The sequence below is a fragment of the Homo sapiens genome, chromosome 16 (genome assembly GCF_000001405.40).
Source record: "Homo sapiens chromosome 16, GRCh38.p14 Primary Assembly".
Classification (NCBI taxonomy): domain Eukaryota; kingdom Metazoa; phylum Chordata; class Mammalia; order Primates; family Hominidae; genus Homo; species Homo sapiens.
This window is the reverse complement of record NC_000016.10, coordinates 3,003,642-3,022,472: the sequence shown is the minus strand read 5'-3', so window position 1 is coordinate 3,022,472 and position 18,831 is coordinate 3,003,642. Positions and strand designations below refer to the sequence as shown.

Sequence of the window (18,831 nt, the reverse complement as noted above, 5' to 3'; positions counted from 1 at the left end):
GAGCCTCACCCCCGCCCCCGCGGCTGGCTGACTCACTCCCTCCCTCCAGCTCAGGGGAGTCAGTCGGGGATCACTGCCTCTCCAAACCATTTAAAGTTAAAGATTCTTTTATTAATAAATTCTCCCTCCCCTCCAAACTCTCCCCAAAATAAATATCTCCTCCCCGCTTTGGGGAGTTGGGGGGGTCTGTATCTTAGGGCCAGCCCTCCTAGTGGGCCAGCCCCCTAGTGTTAAAAATAGGTCCCTAACCCCCCAGGGTGACCCCCGTGGTGGAATTTCAGGACATCTGAGTGAGTGGGGCCTAGTGTCAAGTCTGCCCCCCAAGTCAGCCTGGCCCCCAGGGCCTCTAGGAAGGAGGGCACCCCCCTCCCCTGTGCAAATGCTGCAGTTCCTTAGTCAGTGTCAGCTGTTTTGTGTGAGCCAGCGTGAGGCTCCCTTTCTGTTCTGGAGCCAGAGGCAGGGCAACCAGACACCTTGGAAGGTTCCCCTGAACCCTGGGCCCAGGCCTCAGAGGTGATTCACCGCCCCCCACCCCCCTTGTGGTTGGAGGAGCTTGGCTCCCGCCGCGTCTGGGAGGCAGAGACTGGCTCTAGAATGGATGAATGAATGATGAGTGGGCGAGCCCCGGCTGGCAGGGGGCACATTGTCACTGGATCAGCGCCACAGCTGGGCAGCCCTCTCCGCCGGTCTCCTCTATGGGGGCTGCAAGATAAGAGGTGGGGTCGTCAGCAGCAGAGAAAAGGTCGAGTGCTGACAGGGCTGGGCAGGCCAGGGCACACTTACTGGTGAACTTCTCTCTCCTGCGGCATCGTCTCCAGACCAAAAAGCCAGAAAGCAGCCCCAGCACGAAGGTCAGGCTCAGAGCGCCCCCAAGGATGGGCCAAAGCAGCCGGAAGGGGGCAGGAGGTGCTGCAGCGCCTGGGGGCGGGACTCGGAGTCAGACCTCGCCCCTCTCCAGGCCAGCCCCGCCCCCTAAGACTGAGCCTTCTGCCTTCTCCCAAACGTGGCCTCCTCCCTGACCGGAGCCCCCTCCCAGCTCCCACCTCCTCCCGAATGATTTCCCAGATGCAAAGCTCTCGGCCCCGCTCTGCGCACCAGCCACCCTCCCTCCCAGTCTGGGGTCCGCTGGCCACTGGCCCTGCCCCCCACTCACAGCCCAGGCAGAAGTCGCTGTGCGGTCGCGCCCTGCAAGACGCGCAGTCCATGCACTTGTCCAGGTCCGCGCTCCAGGAGCTGCCGCGGGAGCAGGGGGCGGTGCCTGGGGAGGGGGCCTCGGGTCAGAGGCTGGGGGCGGGACTCGGCTATTCTGGGGTCTGAGGTCAGGGTCGGCCGGCTCGAATAACGTGAGTCACCGGCGCCCTCCCCGCGCATTCCTCACAGGTGACCGCACGGCCCGACCGGGACACGGCAGCTCCGGGAGGGAGGGCGTAGCGCGGGACGCTGGGGGTGGGGGGGGTCAGGTCCCCACAACCCCCCTGCCGCCGGCGGGTGACTCACTCCTGGGCACCGGGCCCGACCCCAGTCCCTCCCCCCGCATAGCTGGGCACTGAAGTCACCGGATGGAAGGGGGCACCCCACATGGTATAGAGGGCACAGACCCTAGTGCCTCTCGACGGCCTCCCCAACTCGTCGATCACTGGGGCTAGTTAGACCCTGTACGGACCAGGCTGGGGGCGTGCCCCTTCCTAGACTAAACATCCCGCCCTCACTCACTTTCTCTCTCCATTCGAAGTACTTCGGACTTGTGGAACTGAAGACCCCCCCCAACCCCAATTGGACGGTGGGAGAAACTGAGGCCCGGATTGTGAATGAAGCTTGGAGAGTGATGGAACTTCCCACAGCCGGGAGCGAGCTGTTTGAAGGCCACCTGACCCCAGATCCCCACATCCGCCTGTTCCCCCAGTTCGGCGCTGTTCTCCAGACACCCAGTCCGGCTCCCGAGCCCCGGCCCGGGGTTCCCCGACCCCGGAGTCCCGCGTACCTGGCGCTTGCTCCCCGGCCACGGAGCGCAGCAACGCCAGCCAGAGCCCCAGCACGAGGAGCCGCAGCAACCGGCGCAGCGAGCCCCGAGCCATAGTGCACGTCCTGCGCCCGCCGCTGTCTGCGCCCGCCGCCGGCCGGCAGGGACCCACGGCCGCCGCCCCGCCCCCGCCCCCGCCTTCCGGGGCGGAGCTCTCGCCTCCGCCCGCCTTGAGGTCCGCTTCGGGACGCCCCGCCCCGCGGCGCCCGCTCAGTTCAGTCATTCATTCAACAAAGTCCTGGCGCGGGAGCTGCCAGGACCCCGCAGGGACGCAGACCCCCTTCCTTGCCCAGCCGGTGATCTAGTCCAGCGTGCGTGGTGTGGGGAAATCAAAAATTAGACACGAGTGCTCGCTTCGGCAGCACATATAGAAATCAGACACGAACGGCCGGACGCGGTGGCTCACGCCTTTAATCCCATCAGTTTGGGAGTCTGAGGCAGGCGGATTACGAGGTCAGGAGTTCGAGAGCAGCCTGACCAACGTGGTGAAACGCCGTCTCTACTCGAAATACAAAAATTAGCCGGGCGTGGTGGCGCGCGCCTGCAATCCGAGCTACTCAGGAGGCTGAGGCAGGAGAATCTCTTGAACCCGGGAGGCAGAAGTTGCAGTGAGCCGAGATCGCGCCACTACACTCCAGCCTGGGCGACAGAGTGAGAGTCCGTCTCAAATAAATAAATAAATAAATAAATAAATAAATAAACAAACAAACAAACAATAAAAAGAAATCAGACACACGACCAATCCATGCAGAGATCACTGCAGCTTCCTTCCCCCCACCTCCCCTTGAGATTGCGTCTCACTCTTGCTCAGCCTGGAGTGCAGTGGTACGATCACGGCTCTCTGGGCTCAGGTGAGCCTCCCACCTCAGCCTCCCAAGTAGCTGGGACCACAGGCCCTGCCCCACCACGTCCGGCTAATTTTTGTATTTTTTGTAGAGACCAGGGTCTTACTATGTTGCCCAGGTTAGCCTGGCCACTACAGCTTTGTTAAGGGCCCGGGGGGTATAACAATTAAACCTGAGGTCAGGAGCTCGAGACCAGCCTGGCCAACTTGGTGAACCCCCGTCTTTACTAAAAATAAAAAAAAGAAAGAAGTTAGCCGGGCGTGGTAGTGGGCGCCTGTAATCTCAGCTACTCGGGAGACTGAGGCAGGAGAATTTCTGGAACCTGGGAGACGGAGGTTGCAGTCAGTCGAGATAGCGCCATTGCACTCCAGACTGGGCGACAGAGAGGGCCTCCATCTCAAAAAACAAAACAGGCCGGGCGCGGTGGCTCACGCCTGTAATCCCAGCACATTGGGAGGCCGAGGCGGGCAGATCACGAGGTCAGGAAATCGAGGCCATCCTGGCTAACACGGTGAAACCCCGTCTCTACTAAAAATACAAAAAAATTAGTCGGGGGTGGTGGCGGGCACCTGTAGTAGTCCCAGCTACTCTGGAGGCTGAGGCAGGTGAATGGCGTGAACCCGGAAGGCAGAGCTTGCAGTGAGCCAAGATCGCGCCACCACACTCCAGCCTTGGCGAGAGAGCGAGACTCCATCTCAAAAACAAACAACAACAACAACAAAAAACCAGCAACATAAAAATAATATTATCTGGCCGGGCGCGGTGGCTTAAGCCGGTAATCCCAGCGCAGTGCGAGGCCAAGGCGGGCGGATCGCTTGAGTCCGGGAGTTCGAGACGCCTGGGCAATATAACAAGACCCTGTCTATACAAAACAAAACATAAATTAGCTGGGCACGGTGGCGTGTGCTGCCTGTAGTCCCAGCTACTCAGGAGGCTGAGGCGGGAGGATCGCTTGAGCCCAGAAGGTCGAGACTGCAGTGAGCCGTGATCGCACCACTGCACTCCAGCCTGGGTGACACAGTGAAAATATTTCTCTAAAATAATACCAATAGTATGCCCTTTAATTTGTACCTTAGGACGTAGTTACATAATAAAATGCAGACTTGTTATCTCCATTTTGCAGAGTAGGAAACGAAGGCTCGGGAAGGTTAGGTGAGTTCCCCATGTCACCGCGCTGCTTAAGTGGTGAAGCGGAGTCTCAAGCTCTGTTCTACCCTAAGCCTGGCGCCCTCACCCTGGGTGAGTCTGGACGTCTGCCAGCCCGAGGCGGGCCCAGCGACCCCAGCCTCCAGCGCCCCCCTCTGACAAGCCTGGGATTCGCACGCCCGCTGCCGTCAGGGACAGGGTCTCTGCCCCTCCTCCGGGGCGGTGGTCCAGTGACGTCACCGCTTCTTTAAGACCCCCGCCTCCGCCCCTGTCCCGACACTCGGCCTAGGAATTTCCCTTATCTCCTTCGCAGGTGAGTCCGGGGCTAGTGTGCGTGTTGGAGAGACGCCTCTTGGGGCCGGGTGCAGGGTGGTGGCGGCGTGGGTAGGGGTGCGTGCGAACTCGGGCTGCGGCCACCTGGATGGGCGAGTCCCTGAGGGGGTCGGCCGGTCCGCGCCCAAGCCTCCGAGGTGATAGGGTCCTTCGGGGCTCCCAAGGGTTAAACGCCCCTCCCCCCTCCCCAGGGACAAAGACTCCGAAACCCCTGGCGCCCCTCCCCCACCTGCCTTGCCTCTCGGGGCGGGGCGCCCCTCCCCCCTCCCCCTCACCTGGGGGAGCGGACCTTGCGGCCACTGCAGCTATAGAACCCCTCCAGGGCGCGCGGCTCCCAGGCTGGGGTGGTCGGGTGGGCCGGGGCGCCCTCGGACAGAGTCTTTTTCATGCAGTGCATGAAAAAGAAAGGGGCAGGGGCACACTCAGAGGGGAGAGGCCTGGGCGCCTATACCAGCGCGGCCCCGACCCTAACTCGGCCAGAGGCCTAAGGGCCGGACCTGAGCGCTGGGGCACCGTGCCCCAGCCAGTCTCCCCAAGGTGGTCTGCTCCGCCCAGGCCTGGGGCCCCCGGCTAATGAGTAGAGCCTGCCCTCCGACCGCTGCCGGCCGGGAAAAGTTTAGGTCCAAGCCGTACAATGAAAGTACTCTGGGCAGTGGGAGGCCACAGCCCGGCCCTAGTCAGAAGTGATTCCCTCCACGACCTCCAACACTGAGGGGACACAGGTGCAGGCCAGGTGGCGGTGGGAGAACTGGTGTTGAGGGGAGTCTAGCACGGCATTTTCGTCTAGAATTCATAGGAAAAGGCCCTCAGCCTTGAGGCTATGCTCTCCGGCGCCTAGGGCAGGTCAGAAGGGTGGGGCCAGGGAGTTATCCACTGGCTTTGGGGGAGGAACTGCTTTTAGATGGGGGATTAATGATGCTTTTCTTCATCTCTCCTGGTCCTGGTGTCTGCCAGCCTGGGGTGTGGAACCAAGTTGTGAGGGACATTGGGTGGTGGGAGGAAGCTTAGGATCTCCAATCTTAGTGTTGAAATTAACAAGTTTTGGTTGGGCACGGTGGCTCACACCTGTAATCCCAGCACTTTGGGAGGCTTGAGGCGGGCAGATCACCTGAGGTCAGGAGTTCGAGACCCGCCTGGCCAACTTGATGAAACCCTGTTTCTACTAAAAATACAAAAATTAAGACCAGGTGTGGTGGCTCATGCCTGTAATCCCAGCACTCTGGGAGGCTGAGGCGGGAGGATCACGAAGTCAGGAGATCGAGACCATCCTGGCTAACACAGTGAAACCCCGTCTCTACTAAAAATACAAAAAAATTAGCCGGGCGTGGTGGTGAGCGCCTGTAGTCCCAGCTACTCGGGAGGCTGAGGCAGGAGAATGGCGTGAACCGGGGAGGCAGAACTTGCAGTGAGCCGAGATCCCGCCACTGCACTCCAGGCTGGGCGACAGAGCGAGACTCCGTCTTAAAAAAAAAAAAAAAAAATTAGCCGGGCGTGGTGGTGTGCACCTGTAATCCCAGCTACTTGGGAGGCTGAGGCAGGAGAATCGCTTGAACCTGGGAGGCAGAGGTTGCAGTGAGTGGAGATGGCACCACTGCACTCTAGCCTGGGCCACAGAGCGAGACTCCTCGTCTCAAACAAACAAACAAAACAAATGGACAAGTTTTGAGCCTTAAACTCAGGGCTAGAATTGAACCATTCTACACGGAAACTGCTTGGAAATCGCACCGTCCTGTCATCCTGCTTTTTGCCGCCTTGCAGCCTGATCACTGGCTCTGGCCTTGGACTGTCATTGTATAGGTTTCATCCTGTTATCTTTCATTTGCATTCAGGATAGCCAGGGCAGGGCTGCTTGCACAGTCACTGTCATCAGCCAGTGCCTGTCACATAACTAGAAAGAATAATAAATGCTAAAGCATTAAGTGTCCATTTTGCCCACGAGAAGTGAGGCTCAGGGAGCATGTCTTGACTGAGTTCCAGGATGTGATGACCACTTTCCAGGGTGCATGCCCCTAGAGTCCTGTCCACATGTGGCCTGAGGTCTGGGCCTGCCAGGCCTCACCTTGTTGTGCTTCTGTCCCAAACACAGTGCAGCTCCTTCAACCTCGCCATGGCCTCTGCCGGAATGCAGATCCTGGGAGTCGTCCTGACACTGCTGGGCTGGGTGAATGGCCTGGTCTCCTGTGCCCTGCCCATGTGGAAGGTGACCGCTTTCATCGGCAACAGCATCGTGGTGGCCCAGGTGGTGTGGGAGGGCCTGTGGATGTCCTGCGTGGTGCAGAGCACCGGCCAGATGCAGTGCAAGGTGTACGACTCACTGCTGGCGCTGCCACAGGACCTGCAGGCTGCACGTGCCCTCTGTGTCATCGCCCTCCTTGTGGCCCTGTTCGGCTTGCTGGTCTACCTTGCTGGGGCCAAGTGTACCACCTGTGTGGAGGAGAAGGATTCCAAGGCCCGCCTGGTGCTCACCTCTGGGATTGTCTTTGTCATCTCAGGGGTCCTGACGCTAATCCCCGTGTGCTGGACGGCGCATGCCATCATCCGGGACTTCTATAACCCCCTGGTGGCTGAGGCCCAAAAGCGGGAGCTGGGGGCCTCCCTCTACTTGGGCTGGGCGGCCTCAGGCCTTTTGTTGCTGGGTGGGGGGTTGCTGTGCTGCACTTGCCCCTCGGGGGGGTCCCAGGGCCCCAGCCATTACATGGCCCGCTACTCAACATCTGCCCCTGCCATCTCTCGGGGGCCCTCTGAGTACCCTACCAAGAATTACGTCTGACGTGGAGGGGAATGGGGGCTCCGCTGGCGCTAGAGCCATCCAGAAGTGGCAGTGCCCAACAGCTTTGGGATGGGTTCGTACCTTTTGTTTCTGCCTCCTGCTATTTTTCTTTTGACTGAGGATATTTAAAATTCATTTGAAAACTGAGCCAAGGTGTTGACTCAGACTCTCACTTAGGCTCTGCTGTTTCTCACCCTTGGATGATGGAGCCAAAGAGGGGATGCTTTGAGATTCTGGATCTTGACATGCCCATCTTAGAAGCCAGTCAAGCTATGGAACTAATGCGGAGGCTGCTTGCTGTGCTGGCTTTGCAACAAGACAGACTGTCCCCAAGAGTTCCTGCTGCTGCTGGGGGCTGGGCTTCCCTAGATGTCACTGGACAGCTGCCCCCCATCCTACTCAGGTCTCTGGAGCTCCTCTCTTCACCCCTGGAAAAACAAATGATCTGTTAACAAAGGACTGCCCACCTCCGGAACTTCTGACCTCTGTTTCCTCCGTCCTGATAAGACGTCCACCCCCCAGGGCCAGGTCCCAGCTATGTAGACCCCCGCCCCCACCTCCAACACTGCACCCTTCTGCCCTGCCCCCCTCGTCTCACCCCCTTTACACTCACATTTTTATCAAATAAAGCATGTTTTGTTAGTGCATTTGGTGTTGCAGCGGGTTACTGAGTGCCCACCCTGGCTAGGGGAAGAGATGGGCATAAGTGAGTCACGATCCCCTCTCCCCGTGGCTTGAGTGAGCATACCCACCAGGCAGAACCTAGAGCCAGACCTTGGCCTGACAGCCACCAAGGGAGGCCACCTGGCTGTGCCTGCCCAGCCCCAGCGGCGGCGCACAGATTAGAGGGAGCCCAGTTACAAATGCTCTTTATTTCCAACTCGAGGGTGGGGATGTTGGGGAGAGGGAGGTGATGGGCAGGCCCTCCCTGACAACTCCAGGGTTGGGAGGGCATGGTCTGCTCCCTGGTTTTGGAGCCAACGAGCTGCTGCTGTTTTGGTGAGGCCAGGGTTCCTGGGGCAGGGGAGGGCTCAGAAGAGAAGGAAGGCCAGCCAGTGTCCTGGGCAACGGAAGGAAACAATTACTGGGGAGGTGGGGGCAGGCCAGGGTTCCCAACACCTCTAGGCTGCCCAACTTGGGGGAGAACATCAAAGGGGACCCCACTGAGAAGAGCTCAGCCAGGCCAGCTGACCCAGCCCTGCAGCCAGGTGTAGCTTGGGCTTTTGGAAAGTGGGTTTTCCTGGGGAAGGAGGTTGTGATGGAGCAGGGCATCTGGTCATCAGGCCAAGGTCGAAAGGGCGGGGCAGTGGGGAGCAGTGGGCTCCCAGGGGAAACCTCCGCCTCACACGTAGTCCCTCTTGTCCAGTCCAGATGCACCCGAGCGGGAGGGGATGGAGTAGCCCAGCCGAGGTCCGCGGGGCCGCTCGACCTGGGGCGGGGGGCACGTGCAGCAGAGGAGCCCCCCGCCCAGCATAAGCAGTGCAGCCGCCGCCCAGCCCAGGTAGAGGGAGGCCCCCAGCTCCCGCTTGAGGGCCTCAGCCACCAGGGGGTTGTAGAAGTCCTGGATGATGGCGTGCGCCGTCCAGCACACAGGGATGAGCACCAGGATGCCGGCGAGGAGGAGGATGACCCCCGCGGTGAGCACGATACGGGCCTTGGCACCTTCGTCCTCCACACACGTGGTACACTGGGCACCTGTGATGGCCACCAGGAGGCCAAGCAGGGCCAGCAGGAGGGCAATGACACAGAGGGCACGTGCGGCCTGCAGGTCCTGCGGCAGAGCCAGCAGTGAGTCGTACACCTTGCACTGCATCTGGCCCGTGCTCTGCACCACGCAGGACATCCACAGGCCCTCCCACACCACCTGGGCCACCACGATGCTGTTGCCGATGAAGGCGGTCACCTTCCACAGGGGCAGGGCGCAGGACACCAGGGTCCCCAGCCAGCCCAGCACAGCCAGGGTCATGCCCAGCAGTTCTAAGCCGGTCGAAGCCATCTGGCCCCTCGGTTAGGTCTTCTCAGCCCCAGGCGGCCTAGGTGACTCAGAGGGTGTGTCTGGTGTGCTGGGTGGGTGTCTCTGTGTCCAGCAGGAGGGGGAAGGCTTGTTGGTGTCCCCAAGCCAGGCCAGTCCTCAGTTCCATGAAAGGCGCCTCTTGAAAGGCGCCTCCTCTCCGTGCCTCTTGCAGGTGTTTCTGGTCCTCGCGGAGCACAAAGCAGACTCGTAGTCCCGCTCGGCTGAGTGGTGGGTGTCACCTCGAGGGGCCTCCGCCCATCGGATGCCCTGAGGGTGCTGCTGCTCTTACCACCCCGCTGTCACACCTGGGCTGAGCTCGCACAGGCCCTCCAGACGCACTGCCAGGCTGAGGACAGCCACGTCTCCTGCCGGCTGGCGCAGGTTCCCACTGAGCGACTCTGACAGTGCCACCTGGGGACTCTGCGGGCTCTCGGCTGCAGGCGGGGTTTTAAGGCCCAGGCAGGGGAGGAGCAGAGTGAAGTGCAGGGAGGCCGGGATAGGGGAGACCTGAGCCACGGGGAGGGTGCGGGGCTGGGGGTTCGTGGGCAGCGGATGGATGAGGGGCCTGGGGGCCAGCGGGGGATGCTGCGGCTGAGTGGGGACAGGGGAGGAAAAGCGTCCGTAGCATCTGTGCATGTGGGAACCAAGGGTAAAGGAGGGGAAGATGGAGGACAAGCTGAGGAAGAAGAGACGGATCGGGGGTCAAAAAAGTAACAGGCTCAGGACAGAAACACACACAGGGGGCGTCGGCTTGCCTTCCTGAGCCTCCTCCTTCCGCAGCCCCTCCCCAGCTGCCTCTGCTCTCCCCCAGCCGAGTTTCGTGATGCAAACATGCCCCAGCTCCCCGAGTATCGCACACTCCCGCCCGCCTGGGACTCTCTGGAATCTGATCCATCCCCCGTCTCAGCCCAGTGGCCCCGCTAGCTCCCGGGGGAAGGTCCCCGCCTGCACTGTTCCCCAGACGACAGGTGCCTGGCGCCCAGCTCAGGTGGCATCGCCCTGGCAACGGCCTAGAAAACTACCCCCCACTTCAACCTCAGCTCAGGTGCGCTCTTGCCACCCCTGCTGCTGAAACCGAGGCTGAGCTGAGCTGCCTAAGATCTCCAGAGGCCAGAGGATGAGGGGCCTGTTGTGGAGGTTGGGGGGCACTCAGGAAGGGGGATGGAGGCGGGACGGGCTGGGGCTGGAACCCAGGGTGGGGCACAGCCCAGGACCCGGTTATGTTCCATGGGTGGGTGAGTGAGTGGCCAGTCAGGCCTCCCGGGCCAAAACACCCCAGAGGTGGGCACGGGGGTTAAGTCCAGGGACTCAAGTGTCCCCAAGACCTGCCTTCCAGTTTGCAGGAAAGCCTTACCTCCGGAAAAACCCCCTCAGAGCCTGTGATTCCACTCATGGGGACAGCCTGGGAGTCCCACTGACCAAAGCTCAAATCCTGACCCCTACCTGGGACAGGTCATGGAAGGTCGAGGTCCTTAACCTCCTTTGGTCAAAGACCCACTTGAGAAACCCCGTGGGACTCACAGAACATGCACCCACAAACATGTGCCCCTCATTTGTGGGGGAGGGTTCATGAACTCCTTCAAGCCCCTGCCTGGGTGCTAAGAACCTCTGAGGATTGTTGTCTGAAAAAGGGGTGTGACGGCCAGGTGCGGTGGCTCACGCCTGTAATCCCAACACTTTGGGAGGCCAAGGTGGGCGATTCACGAGGTCAGGAGTTCGAGACCAGCCTGGCCAACATGGTGAAACCCCGTCTCTACTAAAAATACAAAAAATTAGATATCCCAGCACTTTGGGAGGCCGAAGCAGGTAAATCGGAAGGTTAAGAGATCGAGACCATCCTGGCCAACATGGTGAAACCCCGTCTCTACTAAAAATACAAAAATTAGCTGGGCGTGGTGGCACAAGCCTCTAGTCCCAGCCACTCGCCACTCTGGAGGCTGAGGCAAGAGAATCACTTGAAACCGGGAGGTAGAGGTTGCAGTGAGCCAAGATCGTACCACTCCACTCCACTCCAGCCTGGCGACAGAGAGAGACTCCTCAAAAAAAAAAAAAAAAAAAATTAGCTGGGCGTGGTGGCGGGTGCCTGTAATCCCAGCTACTTGGGAGGCTGAGGCAGAAGAATCGCTTGAACCGGAGGCAGAGGTTGCAGTGAGCCGAGATCGCACCACTGCATTCCAGCCTGGGTGACAGTGGGAGACTCTGTCTCAAAAAAAAAAAAAAAAAAAAAGGAAAAGGGATGTGAGGAACATTGTCTCCATTCATACACTTTCCAGGGAGGTACAGAGGATCCTCAGAGTGGGCCCTCACCTGGGACTGCCTCTCACCTGCCTGGTGCTGGGAGGGCTGGGGTGTGCTGGAGCCCACTGGCCAGTGCGGGCAGGGCTGGAGGTGCCCACCACACACATCTGGTGGCTGCACCACTTCACGGCATTGCCTTCGGGGAGCCAGTGGCCAGGCACACCCCTGCTCAGTGCCCCTCACCTAGTGGGTGGGACATTGTGTATAAAGGGCTCTAACCTCAAGGAGCGGTCAGGGTTCAAACCTAGGGGTATGAGCATCGCTTCTGCGAAAGGGTTTTAGCATCTTTTGGGTCCGGGCACTGAGGCTCACGCCTGTAATCCCAGCGCTTAAGAGGCCAAGGTGGGAGGATTGCTTAAGGCCAGGAGCTTGAGACCCACCTGGGCAACACAGTGAGACCCCATTTCTAAAATAAAAAAAAAATATATATATATATATATACACAAAAATTAGCTGAGTTAGGTGGTTCCTGTCTGTAGTCCCAGCTACTCGGGAGGCTGAGGTAGGAGGATCTCTTGAGCCTAGGAGTTAGAGTCTGCAGTGAGCTATGATTATGCCACCGCACTCCATCCTAGGTGAGACCCTGTCTCTTAAAAAAAATGATACTTTTGGAAGAGAGATTTATACTTTCCTTCAGATTTGCAAAGGGGCCTTGACCCAAAACAGCTTAAGATCCTCCCCTGCAAACACAGAGACAGGCCAGCGCCAATCAGCTGGTCTGTAAGGTAAACAGAAGCCTGGCCTCCTCTTCACCACCCCCTGGGCCTCTCCACTGAGGGGGGCTCCTCCGGTACGAGGGGGGCTGACCTGGTGGCCCCACAGAGTCTGGAAGATGGGGGGGTGATACAGAGGCTGGAAAATGGCCATCAGTGGACTCAGGGAATCTTGTGGCAGGTTTGTCCAGCTCACCCAGCCCCTGGGGCTCAGATTTCACAGGGTTGGGGTGGGGAGAGCAGAGATTGCAGACGGAGGCAAGCCGGTCAGCGGGCTCCCTCGCAGCCTTCCAGGGGCCTCCAGGAATCCAGCCACACAGGTTTGGGCAGCTGTCAGGAGGCAGCAGCAAGCCTGCCTCCCTGGAAGTCCCCCCACCCAGCAGCCCCAACCCAGGGGCTATTCTCTTCCCTGGGCCGGAACAAGTCCTCCTTGTCCTAGGGCCTAAGGTGATCGGCTCATCCCACTTTTTTGAGGGACATTCCCAGCTTGAATATTGGGTCCTCCAGGGAAACCGGGACGGCTGGTCCACTTGCTGTCGGGCCCTGCCTCGGTGACTCACCGGTTCCACATTCAGCTCTAAACCCCTACGTTGTAGCCCAGTGGCGGGCTGCACACATCCAGTGAGCGCTGTGCCCGGAAAGGGCATAAGAGGACCCCAGGGGTTTTTTTGTTTGTGTTTTGAGACGGAGTTTTGCGCTTGTTGCCCAGGCTGGAGTGCAATGGCACAATCTCGGCTTACTGCAACCTCTGCCTCCTGGGTTCAAGCTGTTCTCCTGCCTCAGCCTCTCAAGTAGCTGAGATTACAGGCATGCGCCACCACACCCGGCTATTTTTTTTCTTTTTTTGTATTTAGCAGAGACGGGGTTTCACCATGTTGGTCTGGCTGGTCTGCGAACTCCTGATCTCAGGTGATCCGCCTGCCTCAGCCTTCCAAAGTGCTGGGATTACAGGCAAGCGCCACCGCACTTGCTCGGGGACCCCAGGTTTGTGTTTTGTTTTGTTTTGTTTTGTTTTTTTGAGACGGAATCTCGCTCTGTTGCCCAGGCTGGAGTGCAGTGATGTGATCTCGGCTCACTGCGACCTCTGCCCGCTGGATTCAAGCGATTCTCCTGCCTCAGCCTCCCGAGTAGCTGGAACTACAGACATGTGCCAACACACCCGGCTAATTTTTGTATTTTTATTAGAGACGGGGTTTCACCATATTGGCCAGGCTGGTCTCGAACTCCTGATCTCGTGATCTGCCTGCCTCGGCCTCCCAAACTGCTAGGATTAGAGGTGTGAGCCACCGCATCCAGCCGACCCCAGGTTTTTAAGACCCCAATTCCTCTTTGGCCCAACATCTCCACACCGGAGCAAGAAGGAAAGCAAGCCCACACTCCAGGGACTAGCCAGCAGAGTGGGTGGAGGCTGCTCAGCAAATGCGCACACCCCCACCTCAGTGACCAACCCACTGGACTTGCCTTCACAGTGGCCCTGTGCGGCTTCAGGCTCCTCCCACCCCAAGTCTCTAAGATAAAACACAGTATCTCCCCAAGCCCCTTGGGGAGAGTAAAAGTGGAGAAACATCTTGGAGCCTAGGAGAGGCTGGAAGAGGGTGGTTGGGGAGCTGCCCATGGTGGGAGGATTCCCAGGACACATGGGTAGCAATTAGCCTGTTGTCCTCAGCCCTCACTAGACCTAGGTTGGGAGGTCCTAGACCCTCTCCTAGGCCCCCGTGCACCTGGATTCAGTTGGATCTTGGGAAAGGAAGGGTTAAGGTTGGGGCCTAATCAGGGACTGGAATGCCATTGATATGGAAAAGTGGGGGCCCCTTGGTGTGGTTACCATCTCAATGGCACTTTAACACCTCCAGCGAAGTCCCCTCCCCCATCCACCACGTCTGGGAAAAGAGGTGGGGGAGGGGAACCTTCCCCACTGTACTACCCTGGGAGGAAAGGAAGCCGGCTCTCCACCAGTCCCTTCCTGGAGCGACAAAATGGACCTCGTTTTTGTTCCGTCTAGGAGGAAAGAGGGGCAGGGAGGCTCAGGTGGGCAGAAGAAACCAGAGATCAGCTTAGATAGGGTCGAAGTGGGTTAACCCGCGCCTCTTAGAGGGGGAAGTGTGGCCTGACCACAAAGGAAAGGAAGGAAGTTACCAGGAGCTACCATGCGCCAGGAACAGTGCGGGGGTGGGTGTGGGGGCAGCACACTAAGAACCCCAAGGGCAGAGTCACCCACTGCGCCCGGAGGAGCCAAGACCCAGATCTTACAGGTAGAGAAGCTGGTCCCCTAGCTCCCAAACCAAAAGGTGCAGCTAAATCTCGGTGTTGCAGCTGTCACCCTCACGGGCTCACTGCCCACCTTCACAGACAGGAACAAGCTCAGGGAGCTGAGCGAACCTGACCAAGTGCACAGCGGGAAGCAGGACACACCTGACACCAACCCAGACCCTGACTTTGGAGCTAGCCCCCCTAGGTGGGCTAAGAGAGCCTCCTGAACCTCTTTCCCGACAGGGCAGCGGGGCAGGGCCTCTCCTTCTTCTGGGCCTCCCAAGCACCATCCCGTTCCTCCTTGTCCCAAATTCTTCGAGGCTCCCAGTACAGGGAAACCTCTGCAGAAAACTGCATTTGGATCTGATTACGGAAGAGGCCCCCTCCACCAGCTGGCTCACTCTCATTGCCATGTCCCTGGCAAGGGAAGTGCCCTTTGCTCCCCACTTGCAGGGGGCAGCGGGCTGGACTCCCAGAACCTCATGCGAGCCCCACCCCAGGGCTCCCTGGGCAAGTCACAGCTGCCCAAACCTCAGGTGCTCCTGGCTGTAAAGCAGAGAGGAGACAGCTCTGCTTCAACCCTGGCACATCCCTGGACTGGCACCTTGGGGATCGAGGTGGGTATTGACTCAAGACAAGCATATTTTGTCAAAAGCATAATGGAGGTTTCACTTGTACACCTGGGCAGACTCCACTGACTGGGTAACAATTAACTTTATTATCAGTAGTAACTGTCAGTTTCAACCAGCAGCAGTTATCGCTCCCACCCTTTGAGGGTGGGGGCCCCGTGGCTAATGCTGTCTTTAAGAATACACATCTGTGTACTTCCTGTTTCTTAGCTGAGAGAGGAGGCCTCAACAATATAAAGCGCAGGGAGCTGGGGAGCGGCAAGCCAGTGGGAATGGGCACCTGGCCATAAGTCAGAGAAGGGGAAGGAGAGTTACTTTATTCTCTTCTGGTGCCAGTAAGAACTTTATCAAGGTACTAGTGCCATCAGCTCCTGCCCAAGGGCACCCAGGGCCCCAGGTCAGCATGACGGATTTAAGACACATTACGTTCTGGGAAGACGGCTAGGAAGGTAGGTCAGCCCCACAGGGGAGAGGACACTGCATGTCCAGATGGGGGCACGCAAAATGATACCTCCACCCTCTAAGCCCTGGAATCTGTGAATGTGACCTCACTTGATAAAAGGGCCTTTGCACATGTAATTAAACTAAGGATATCAAAATGAGATTATCCTAGGTTTCAGGCGGGTCCTACCTTCAACGACAATCCAACCTCTTACAACATAAAAACAGGGAGATTGGAGACAGACATGGGGAGAAGGCCATGTGAAGACGGAGGCAGGAACTCCTGTGATGCGGCCACAAGCCACAGAGGGCCTGGAGCCACCAGGAGCTGGAAGAGGCAGGAGGGATCCTCCCCTAGCACCTGTGAAGGGAACAGGGTCCTGCCCACACCTTTATTTTTGACTTTTGGCCTCCAGAATTGTAACGAATACATTTCTGTTGTTTGAAGCCATGCAGTGTGTATAAATTTGCTACTGCGGTCAGGCCGGGCGCGGTGGCTCACGCCTGTAATCCCAGCACTTTGGGAGGCCGAGGCGGGAAGATCACGAGGTCAGGAGATCGAGACCATCCTGGCTAACATGGTGAAACCGCATCTCTACCAAAAATAAAAAAAATTAAAAAATAAAATTTTTACTGCAGTCACAAAGAACTAGTACACTGCCCTTCTTGGTGGTGGGTCCCGGGCTCTCCGAGGTCCCCCAGGGTCAAGGTTGGCTTTCTGATACCAGTCCTAGGCTGCTGGAGAAGAGCCCACTGAGAAAGAATTTTCGCCTGATTACCTGAGCTCAGGCCACCTAGGGAACAAAGAGAACTTTATTAAGTTGTAGAGGCTGCACAGAAACTGGCAGGTGGGGTGCAGGCAAAGCTGGAGAGAACAGGAGCTTCCTCTCAGGGCCCAGCCCGGGTGGGGGTGGGGGAAGCTCTCCTGTCCCATGGGGATGACTTCACAGCCCTTGCATGTGACCCTTGGGTCCAGTATCGATCCCCACCACTGCTTCCCTGGTGCGCACAGCCAGCCCGACCCCTGGATCTGTTTCAGTTGAAAATTTGACTTCTGAAGACTTTTCAAAGGCCGGGCGCAGTGGCTTATGCCTGTAATCCCAGCAGTTTGGGAGACGGGCGGATCACCTGAGGTCTGGAGTTTGAGACCAGCCTGACCAAAATGGAGAAACCCCGTCTCTACTAAAAATAGAAAATTAGCTGGGCGTGGTGGCGCATGCCTGTAAACTCAGCTACTCAGGAGGCTGAGGCAGGAGAATCGCTTGAACCCAGGAGGCGGAGGCTGTGGTGAGCCGAGATTATGCCATTGCACTCCAGCCTGGGCAACAAGAACGAAACTCCGTCTCAAAAAAAAAAAAAAAAAAAAAAAGACTTTTGCGGCAGGATCAGAATTTTCAAGAGCCATACACTGAGGATGGCCTTAGCCATGGCATCCAGACCCTTTATTTATAAGAGAAATGAAATATTTGGATATAGTTAAAGCACTTTAAACTTTTTTTTTTTTTTTTGAGACGGAGTTTAGCTCTTGTTGCCTAGGCTGGAGTGCAATGGCACCATCTCGGCTCACCCCAACCTCCGCCTCCCGGGTTCAAGCGATTCTCCTGCCTCAGCCTCCCGAGTAGCTGGGATTACAGGCATGTGCCACCACGCCCGGCTAATTTTGTATTTTTAGTAGAGACAGGGTTTCTCCATGTTGGTCAGGCTGGTCTCAAACTCCTGACCTCAGGTGATCCGCCAGCCTCAGCCTCCCAAAGTGCTGGGATTATAGGCGGGAGCCACCGCGCCCGGCCCAGCACTTTAAACTTTTGTTTTCATACCCTTGATCCCCATTTCCTTGGACACGTGCTGTGGGCCCCGCCCGCTGCCCTGATCACTAGCCAGGTTATCAGCCCAGGGGACGGGTTACATTCTCAAATAACCTAGCAAGAGGCCTGCTGGAGGGCAGCAGGGGAAAATGGAAGACCCGAATCTTTAGACAAGTCTATTTTCAGACTCGCTCCTTTCTCTACCAAACCTGAGCTGCTTCCGATTCTCCTTCTCTCTTCCCCAAACTGGGCTCTAACCCCCGTCCTCTGAATCCATGCCCGGGGAAGGTGGCTACGGGCACTGGCCCTGTCGGGGGCTGCCTACTCACCCGCCGCGGGAGGGGCCAGGTCAGCAGGGCGGCGACAGGAAGAAATGCGGGGACAGGGGCACGGGCGGTGGCAGGGGAAAGGCGGACAGCAGCCATGGGTCGCGGGTCTCGGGGGCCGTCAGCAGGCTGAAGGGAGAGGGTCGCGCGGGCAGCGGCGGAAGCGGATGCGGCGGCGGCTCGGAGACCAGGGGCGGGCGGACGAGCGCGCCCACGGGCCCAGGGGCTGAGGCGACGGCGGACACGGGCAGCGGAAGCAGCGGTAGGAGCGCGGGCGGAGCGCGCGGGCGCGGGCAGGCGCGGCAGGTCCTGCAGTGCGAGCACGGCGGCGGAGAGCGCGGGTGAGCAGGCTTCGGGCGGCAGCTCGGGCAGTGCCAGATGCGCGCCGGGGCCCCAGGGCGCCAGCGGCTCGGGCCGCAGCGGGAGCGCGGGCAGCGGTGGCAGCTCGGCCAGGGCGAGAGCGGAGGGCGTCGGCGGCCCGGGGCTCAGGCCGGGCGGCAGGCCGGGCAACGGCGGGTGCGGCAGGGACGGCGGGGGCAGCGGGGTGGGCGGCAGCGTCGAGCGGGCCCGGCCCAATCGCGAGTGGGCGCGGGCGCGGGCGAGCCGCGGGTGCGAGCTGGAGCGGGGCAGCCGCGCCGCCAGCTTGGCTGCGGCCGCCACCCCGGTTGCGGCCGCCAGCCCAGGGCCCCAGAGCGCGCCGCCAGCCGTGACCTGGTACCTCGGGAGGTGGCCAAGCGCCGCACTCCGAGCGGCCCAGCCAATCGCAGATGCTCGCCGCCGCACCCCAACCAATCACGGGCCAGTGCGCTCGCGGTCTACGGGTCCCACCCGGCAGCTGTCAAGGGCTACCCTTGGCAGCCAATCAGAGATATGAGCGCGCTCCGCCAAGTTCTTCTTCCCGCCCTCTCCTGGTCCCAGCCAATCGCTGTGTCCCAGGTGCCGCAGCTGCTCCCCGCCCTCAGCTAGCCTGGCTATCAGGCGCTGCACACGCGCAGTGGGCGCCCCCACCTGGCTTGAGGATCTGCGGATTCGCTGCGACACCGAGGCGCGGCGCCTCACCAATTTTTTTTTTGTTTGTTTTTTAGGTGGCTTTTTTGGGGACTGAGCCCCTCACTCTGGCGCCCAGGCTACATTGCAGTGGCGCGGTCTTGGCTCAGTGAAGCCTCGACCTGCCGGACTAAAGCAGTTCTCCCGCCTCAGCCTCCCCAAGTAGCCGGGACTACAGGTGCACGCCACCACAC

At 59.2% G+C, this 18,831-nt stretch overlaps 3 protein-coding genes across 3 annotated transcripts, besides 21 other annotated features; 1 reads left to right on the top strand and 2 right to left on the bottom strand.

Moving 5' to 3' along the window:
* Positions 90-2,105, bottom strand: TNFRSF12A (TNF receptor superfamily member 12A). Its single transcript, NM_016639.3, has 4 exons — positions 1,982-2,105; positions 1,154-1,258; positions 784-918; positions 90-702 (listed from the first exon to the last, which is right to left on the bottom strand). The coding sequence occupies exons 1-4, from the start codon at positions 2,073-2,075 to the stop codon at positions 647-649; spliced, it is 390 nt and encodes a 129-aa protein (NP_057723.1). The 5' UTR covers positions 2,076-2,105; the 3' UTR covers positions 90-646.
* Positions 394-1,037: an enhancer, noted in NCBI's record as "H3K27ac hESC enhancer chr16:3071437-3072080 (GRCh37/hg19 assembly coordinates)". NCBI's record gives its function as "activates a minimal SCP1, AML or CMV promoter by ChIP-STARR-seq in primed H9 embryonic stem cells {active_cell/tissue: H9 hESC(primed)}" and the evidence as "EXISTENCE:reporter gene assay evidence [ECO:0000049][PMID:30033119]".
* Positions 394-2,327: a biological region, named in NCBI's record as "MED14-independent group 3 enhancer GRCh37_chr16:3070698-3071897".
* Positions 577-1,776: an enhancer, noted in NCBI's record as "MED14-independent group 3 enhancer chr16:3070698-3071897 (GRCh37/hg19 assembly coordinates)". NCBI's record gives its function as "activates an origin of replication core promoter dependent on BRD2, BRD4, P300/CBP and CDK7 cofactors, and independent of MED14, by STARR-seq in HCT116 cells {active_cell/tissue: HCT116}" and the evidence as "EXISTENCE:reporter gene assay evidence [ECO:0000049][PMID:35650434]".
* Positions 1,017-1,186: a silencer, noted in NCBI's record as "silent region_7103". NCBI's record gives its function as "represses an Ori minimal core promoter by ATAC-STARR-seq in GM12878 lymphoblastoid cells {active_cell/tissue: GM12878}" and the evidence as "EXISTENCE:reporter gene assay evidence [ECO:0000049][PMID:35858748]".
* Positions 1,683-2,327: an enhancer, noted in NCBI's record as "H3K27ac-H3K4me1 hESC enhancer chr16:3070147-3070791 (GRCh37/hg19 assembly coordinates)". NCBI's record gives its function as "activates a minimal SCP1, AML or CMV promoter by ChIP-STARR-seq in naive H9 embryonic stem cells {active_cell/tissue: H9 hESC(naive)}" and the evidence as "EXISTENCE:reporter gene assay evidence [ECO:0000049][PMID:30033119]".
* Positions 2,037-2,256: a silencer, noted in NCBI's record as "silent region_7102". NCBI's record gives its function as "represses an Ori minimal core promoter by ATAC-STARR-seq in GM12878 lymphoblastoid cells {active_cell/tissue: GM12878}" and the evidence as "EXISTENCE:reporter gene assay evidence [ECO:0000049][PMID:35858748]".
* Positions 3,096-3,691: an enhancer, noted in NCBI's record as "H3K4me1 hESC enhancer chr16:3068783-3069378 (GRCh37/hg19 assembly coordinates)". NCBI's record gives its function as "activates a minimal SCP1, AML or CMV promoter by ChIP-STARR-seq in primed H9 embryonic stem cells {active_cell/tissue: H9 hESC(primed)}" and the evidence as "EXISTENCE:reporter gene assay evidence [ECO:0000049][PMID:30033119]".
* Positions 4,289-4,885: an enhancer, noted in NCBI's record as "H3K27ac hESC enhancer chr16:3067589-3068185 (GRCh37/hg19 assembly coordinates)". NCBI's record gives its function as "activates a minimal SCP1, AML or CMV promoter by ChIP-STARR-seq in naive H9 embryonic stem cells {active_cell/tissue: H9 hESC(naive)}" and the evidence as "EXISTENCE:reporter gene assay evidence [ECO:0000049][PMID:30033119]".
* Positions 4,290-7,761, top strand: CLDN6 (claudin 6). Its single transcript, NM_021195.5, has 2 exons — positions 4,290-4,324; positions 6,431-7,761. The coding sequence occupies exon 2, from the start codon at positions 6,452-6,454 to the stop codon at positions 7,112-7,114; it is 663 nt and encodes a 220-aa protein (NP_067018.2). The 5' UTR covers positions 4,290-4,324; positions 6,431-6,451; the 3' UTR covers positions 7,115-7,761.
* Positions 4,886-5,482: an enhancer, noted in NCBI's record as "H3K27ac hESC enhancer chr16:3066992-3067588 (GRCh37/hg19 assembly coordinates)". NCBI's record gives its function as "activates a minimal SCP1, AML or CMV promoter by ChIP-STARR-seq in naive H9 embryonic stem cells {active_cell/tissue: H9 hESC(naive)}" and the evidence as "EXISTENCE:reporter gene assay evidence [ECO:0000049][PMID:30033119]".
* Positions 6,702-7,266: an enhancer, noted in NCBI's record as "H3K27ac-H3K4me1 hESC enhancer chr16:3065208-3065772 (GRCh37/hg19 assembly coordinates)". NCBI's record gives its function as "activates a minimal SCP1, AML or CMV promoter by ChIP-STARR-seq in naive H9 embryonic stem cells {active_cell/tissue: H9 hESC(naive)}" and the evidence as "EXISTENCE:reporter gene assay evidence [ECO:0000049][PMID:30033119]".
* Positions 7,762-7,967: 206 nt separating the features above from the next.
* CLDN9 (claudin 9) lies at positions 7,968-9,550 on the bottom strand. Its single transcript, NM_020982.4, has one exon. The coding sequence runs from the start codon at positions 9,108-9,110 to the stop codon at positions 8,457-8,459; it is 654 nt and encodes a 217-aa protein (NP_066192.1). The 5' UTR covers positions 9,111-9,550; the 3' UTR covers positions 7,968-8,456.
* Positions 8,123-8,290: a silencer, noted in NCBI's record as "fragment chr16:3064184-3064351 (GRCh37/hg19 assembly coordinates)". NCBI's record gives its function as "represses an EF-1alpha promoter that drives an FKBP-Casp9 reporter gene in an ReSE screen in phorbol 12-myristate 13-acetate-treated (for megakaryocytic differentiation) K562 erythroleukemia cells {active_cell/tissue: K562(+PMA)}" and the evidence as "EXISTENCE:reporter gene assay evidence [ECO:0000049][PMID:32094911]".
* Positions 9,866-10,691: an enhancer, noted in NCBI's record as "H3K4me1 hESC enhancer chr16:3061783-3062608 (GRCh37/hg19 assembly coordinates)". NCBI's record gives its function as "activates a minimal SCP1, AML or CMV promoter by ChIP-STARR-seq in naive H9 embryonic stem cells {active_cell/tissue: H9 hESC(naive)}" and the evidence as "EXISTENCE:reporter gene assay evidence [ECO:0000049][PMID:30033119]".
* Positions 12,958-13,915: an enhancer, noted in NCBI's record as "OCT4-NANOG-H3K27ac-H3K4me1 hESC enhancer chr16:3058559-3059516 (GRCh37/hg19 assembly coordinates)". NCBI's record gives its function as "activates a minimal SCP1, AML or CMV promoter by ChIP-STARR-seq in naive and primed H9 embryonic stem cells {active_cell/tissue: H9 hESC(naive and primed)}" and the evidence as "EXISTENCE:reporter gene assay evidence [ECO:0000049][PMID:30033119]".
* Positions 13,916-14,875: an enhancer, noted in NCBI's record as "OCT4-NANOG-H3K27ac-H3K4me1 hESC enhancer chr16:3057599-3058558 (GRCh37/hg19 assembly coordinates)". NCBI's record gives its function as "activates a minimal SCP1, AML or CMV promoter by ChIP-STARR-seq in naive and primed H9 embryonic stem cells {active_cell/tissue: H9 hESC(naive and primed)}" and the evidence as "EXISTENCE:reporter gene assay evidence [ECO:0000049][PMID:30033119]".
* Positions 16,211-16,505: an enhancer, noted in NCBI's record as "tiled region #8596; K562 Activating DNase unmatched - State 1:Tss". NCBI's record gives its function as "activates a minimal TATA promoter and a strong SV40 promoter by Sharpr-MPRA in K562 cells {active_cell/tissue: K562}" and the evidence as "EXISTENCE:reporter gene assay evidence [ECO:0000049][PMID:27701403]".
* Positions 17,752-18,710: an enhancer, noted in NCBI's record as "NANOG-H3K27ac hESC enhancer chr16:3053764-3054722 (GRCh37/hg19 assembly coordinates)". NCBI's record gives its function as "activates a minimal SCP1, AML or CMV promoter by ChIP-STARR-seq in primed H9 embryonic stem cells {active_cell/tissue: H9 hESC(primed)}" and the evidence as "EXISTENCE:reporter gene assay evidence [ECO:0000049][PMID:30033119]".
* Positions 18,167-18,256: a silencer, noted in NCBI's record as "silent region_7101". NCBI's record gives its function as "represses an Ori minimal core promoter by ATAC-STARR-seq in GM12878 lymphoblastoid cells {active_cell/tissue: GM12878}" and the evidence as "EXISTENCE:reporter gene assay evidence [ECO:0000049][PMID:35858748]".
* Positions 18,267-18,366: a silencer, noted in NCBI's record as "silent region_7100". NCBI's record gives its function as "represses an Ori minimal core promoter by ATAC-STARR-seq in GM12878 lymphoblastoid cells {active_cell/tissue: GM12878}" and the evidence as "EXISTENCE:reporter gene assay evidence [ECO:0000049][PMID:35858748]".
* Positions 18,311-18,605: an enhancer, noted in NCBI's record as "tiled region #11969; K562 Activating DNase matched - State 4:PromP". NCBI's record gives its function as "weakly activates a minimal TATA promoter and a strong SV40 promoter by Sharpr-MPRA in K562 cells {active_cell/tissue: K562}" and the evidence as "EXISTENCE:reporter gene assay evidence [ECO:0000049][PMID:27701403]".
* Positions 18,311-18,605: a silencer, noted in NCBI's record as "tiled region #11969; HepG2 Repressive non-DNase unmatched - State 12:CtcfO". NCBI's record gives its function as "represses a minimal TATA promoter and a strong SV40 promoter by Sharpr-MPRA in HepG2 cells {active_cell/tissue: HepG2}" and the evidence as "EXISTENCE:reporter gene assay evidence [ECO:0000049][PMID:27701403]".
* Positions 18,353-18,646: a silencer, noted in NCBI's record as "fragment chr16:3053828-3054121 (GRCh37/hg19 assembly coordinates)". NCBI's record gives its function as "represses an EF-1alpha promoter that drives an FKBP-Casp9 reporter gene in an ReSE screen in HepG2 liver carcinoma cells {active_cell/tissue: HepG2}" and the evidence as "EXISTENCE:reporter gene assay evidence [ECO:0000049][PMID:32094911]".

Coding starts and splice junctions, on each gene's coding strand:
- TNFRSF12A (NM_016639.3), bottom strand. CDS start 2,075: ATGGCTCGGGGCTCGCTGCGCCGGTTGCTGCGGCTCCTCGTGCTGGGG. Junction 1,259..1,981: donor GGCCGGGGAGCAAGCGCCAG/GTACGCGGGACT, acceptor CCCCCTCCCCAG/GCACCGCCCCCTGCTCCCGC. Junction 703..783: donor CAGGAGAGAGAAGTTCACCA/GTAAGTGTGCCC, acceptor CTTATCTTGCAG/CCCCCATAGAGGAGACCGGC.
- CLDN6 (NM_021195.5), top strand. CDS start 6,452: ATGGCCTCTGCCGGAATGCAGATCCTGGGAGTCGTCCTGACACTGCTG.
- CLDN9 (NM_020982.4), bottom strand. CDS start 9,110: ATGGCTTCGACCGGCTTAGAACTGCTGGGCATGACCCTGGCTGTGCTG.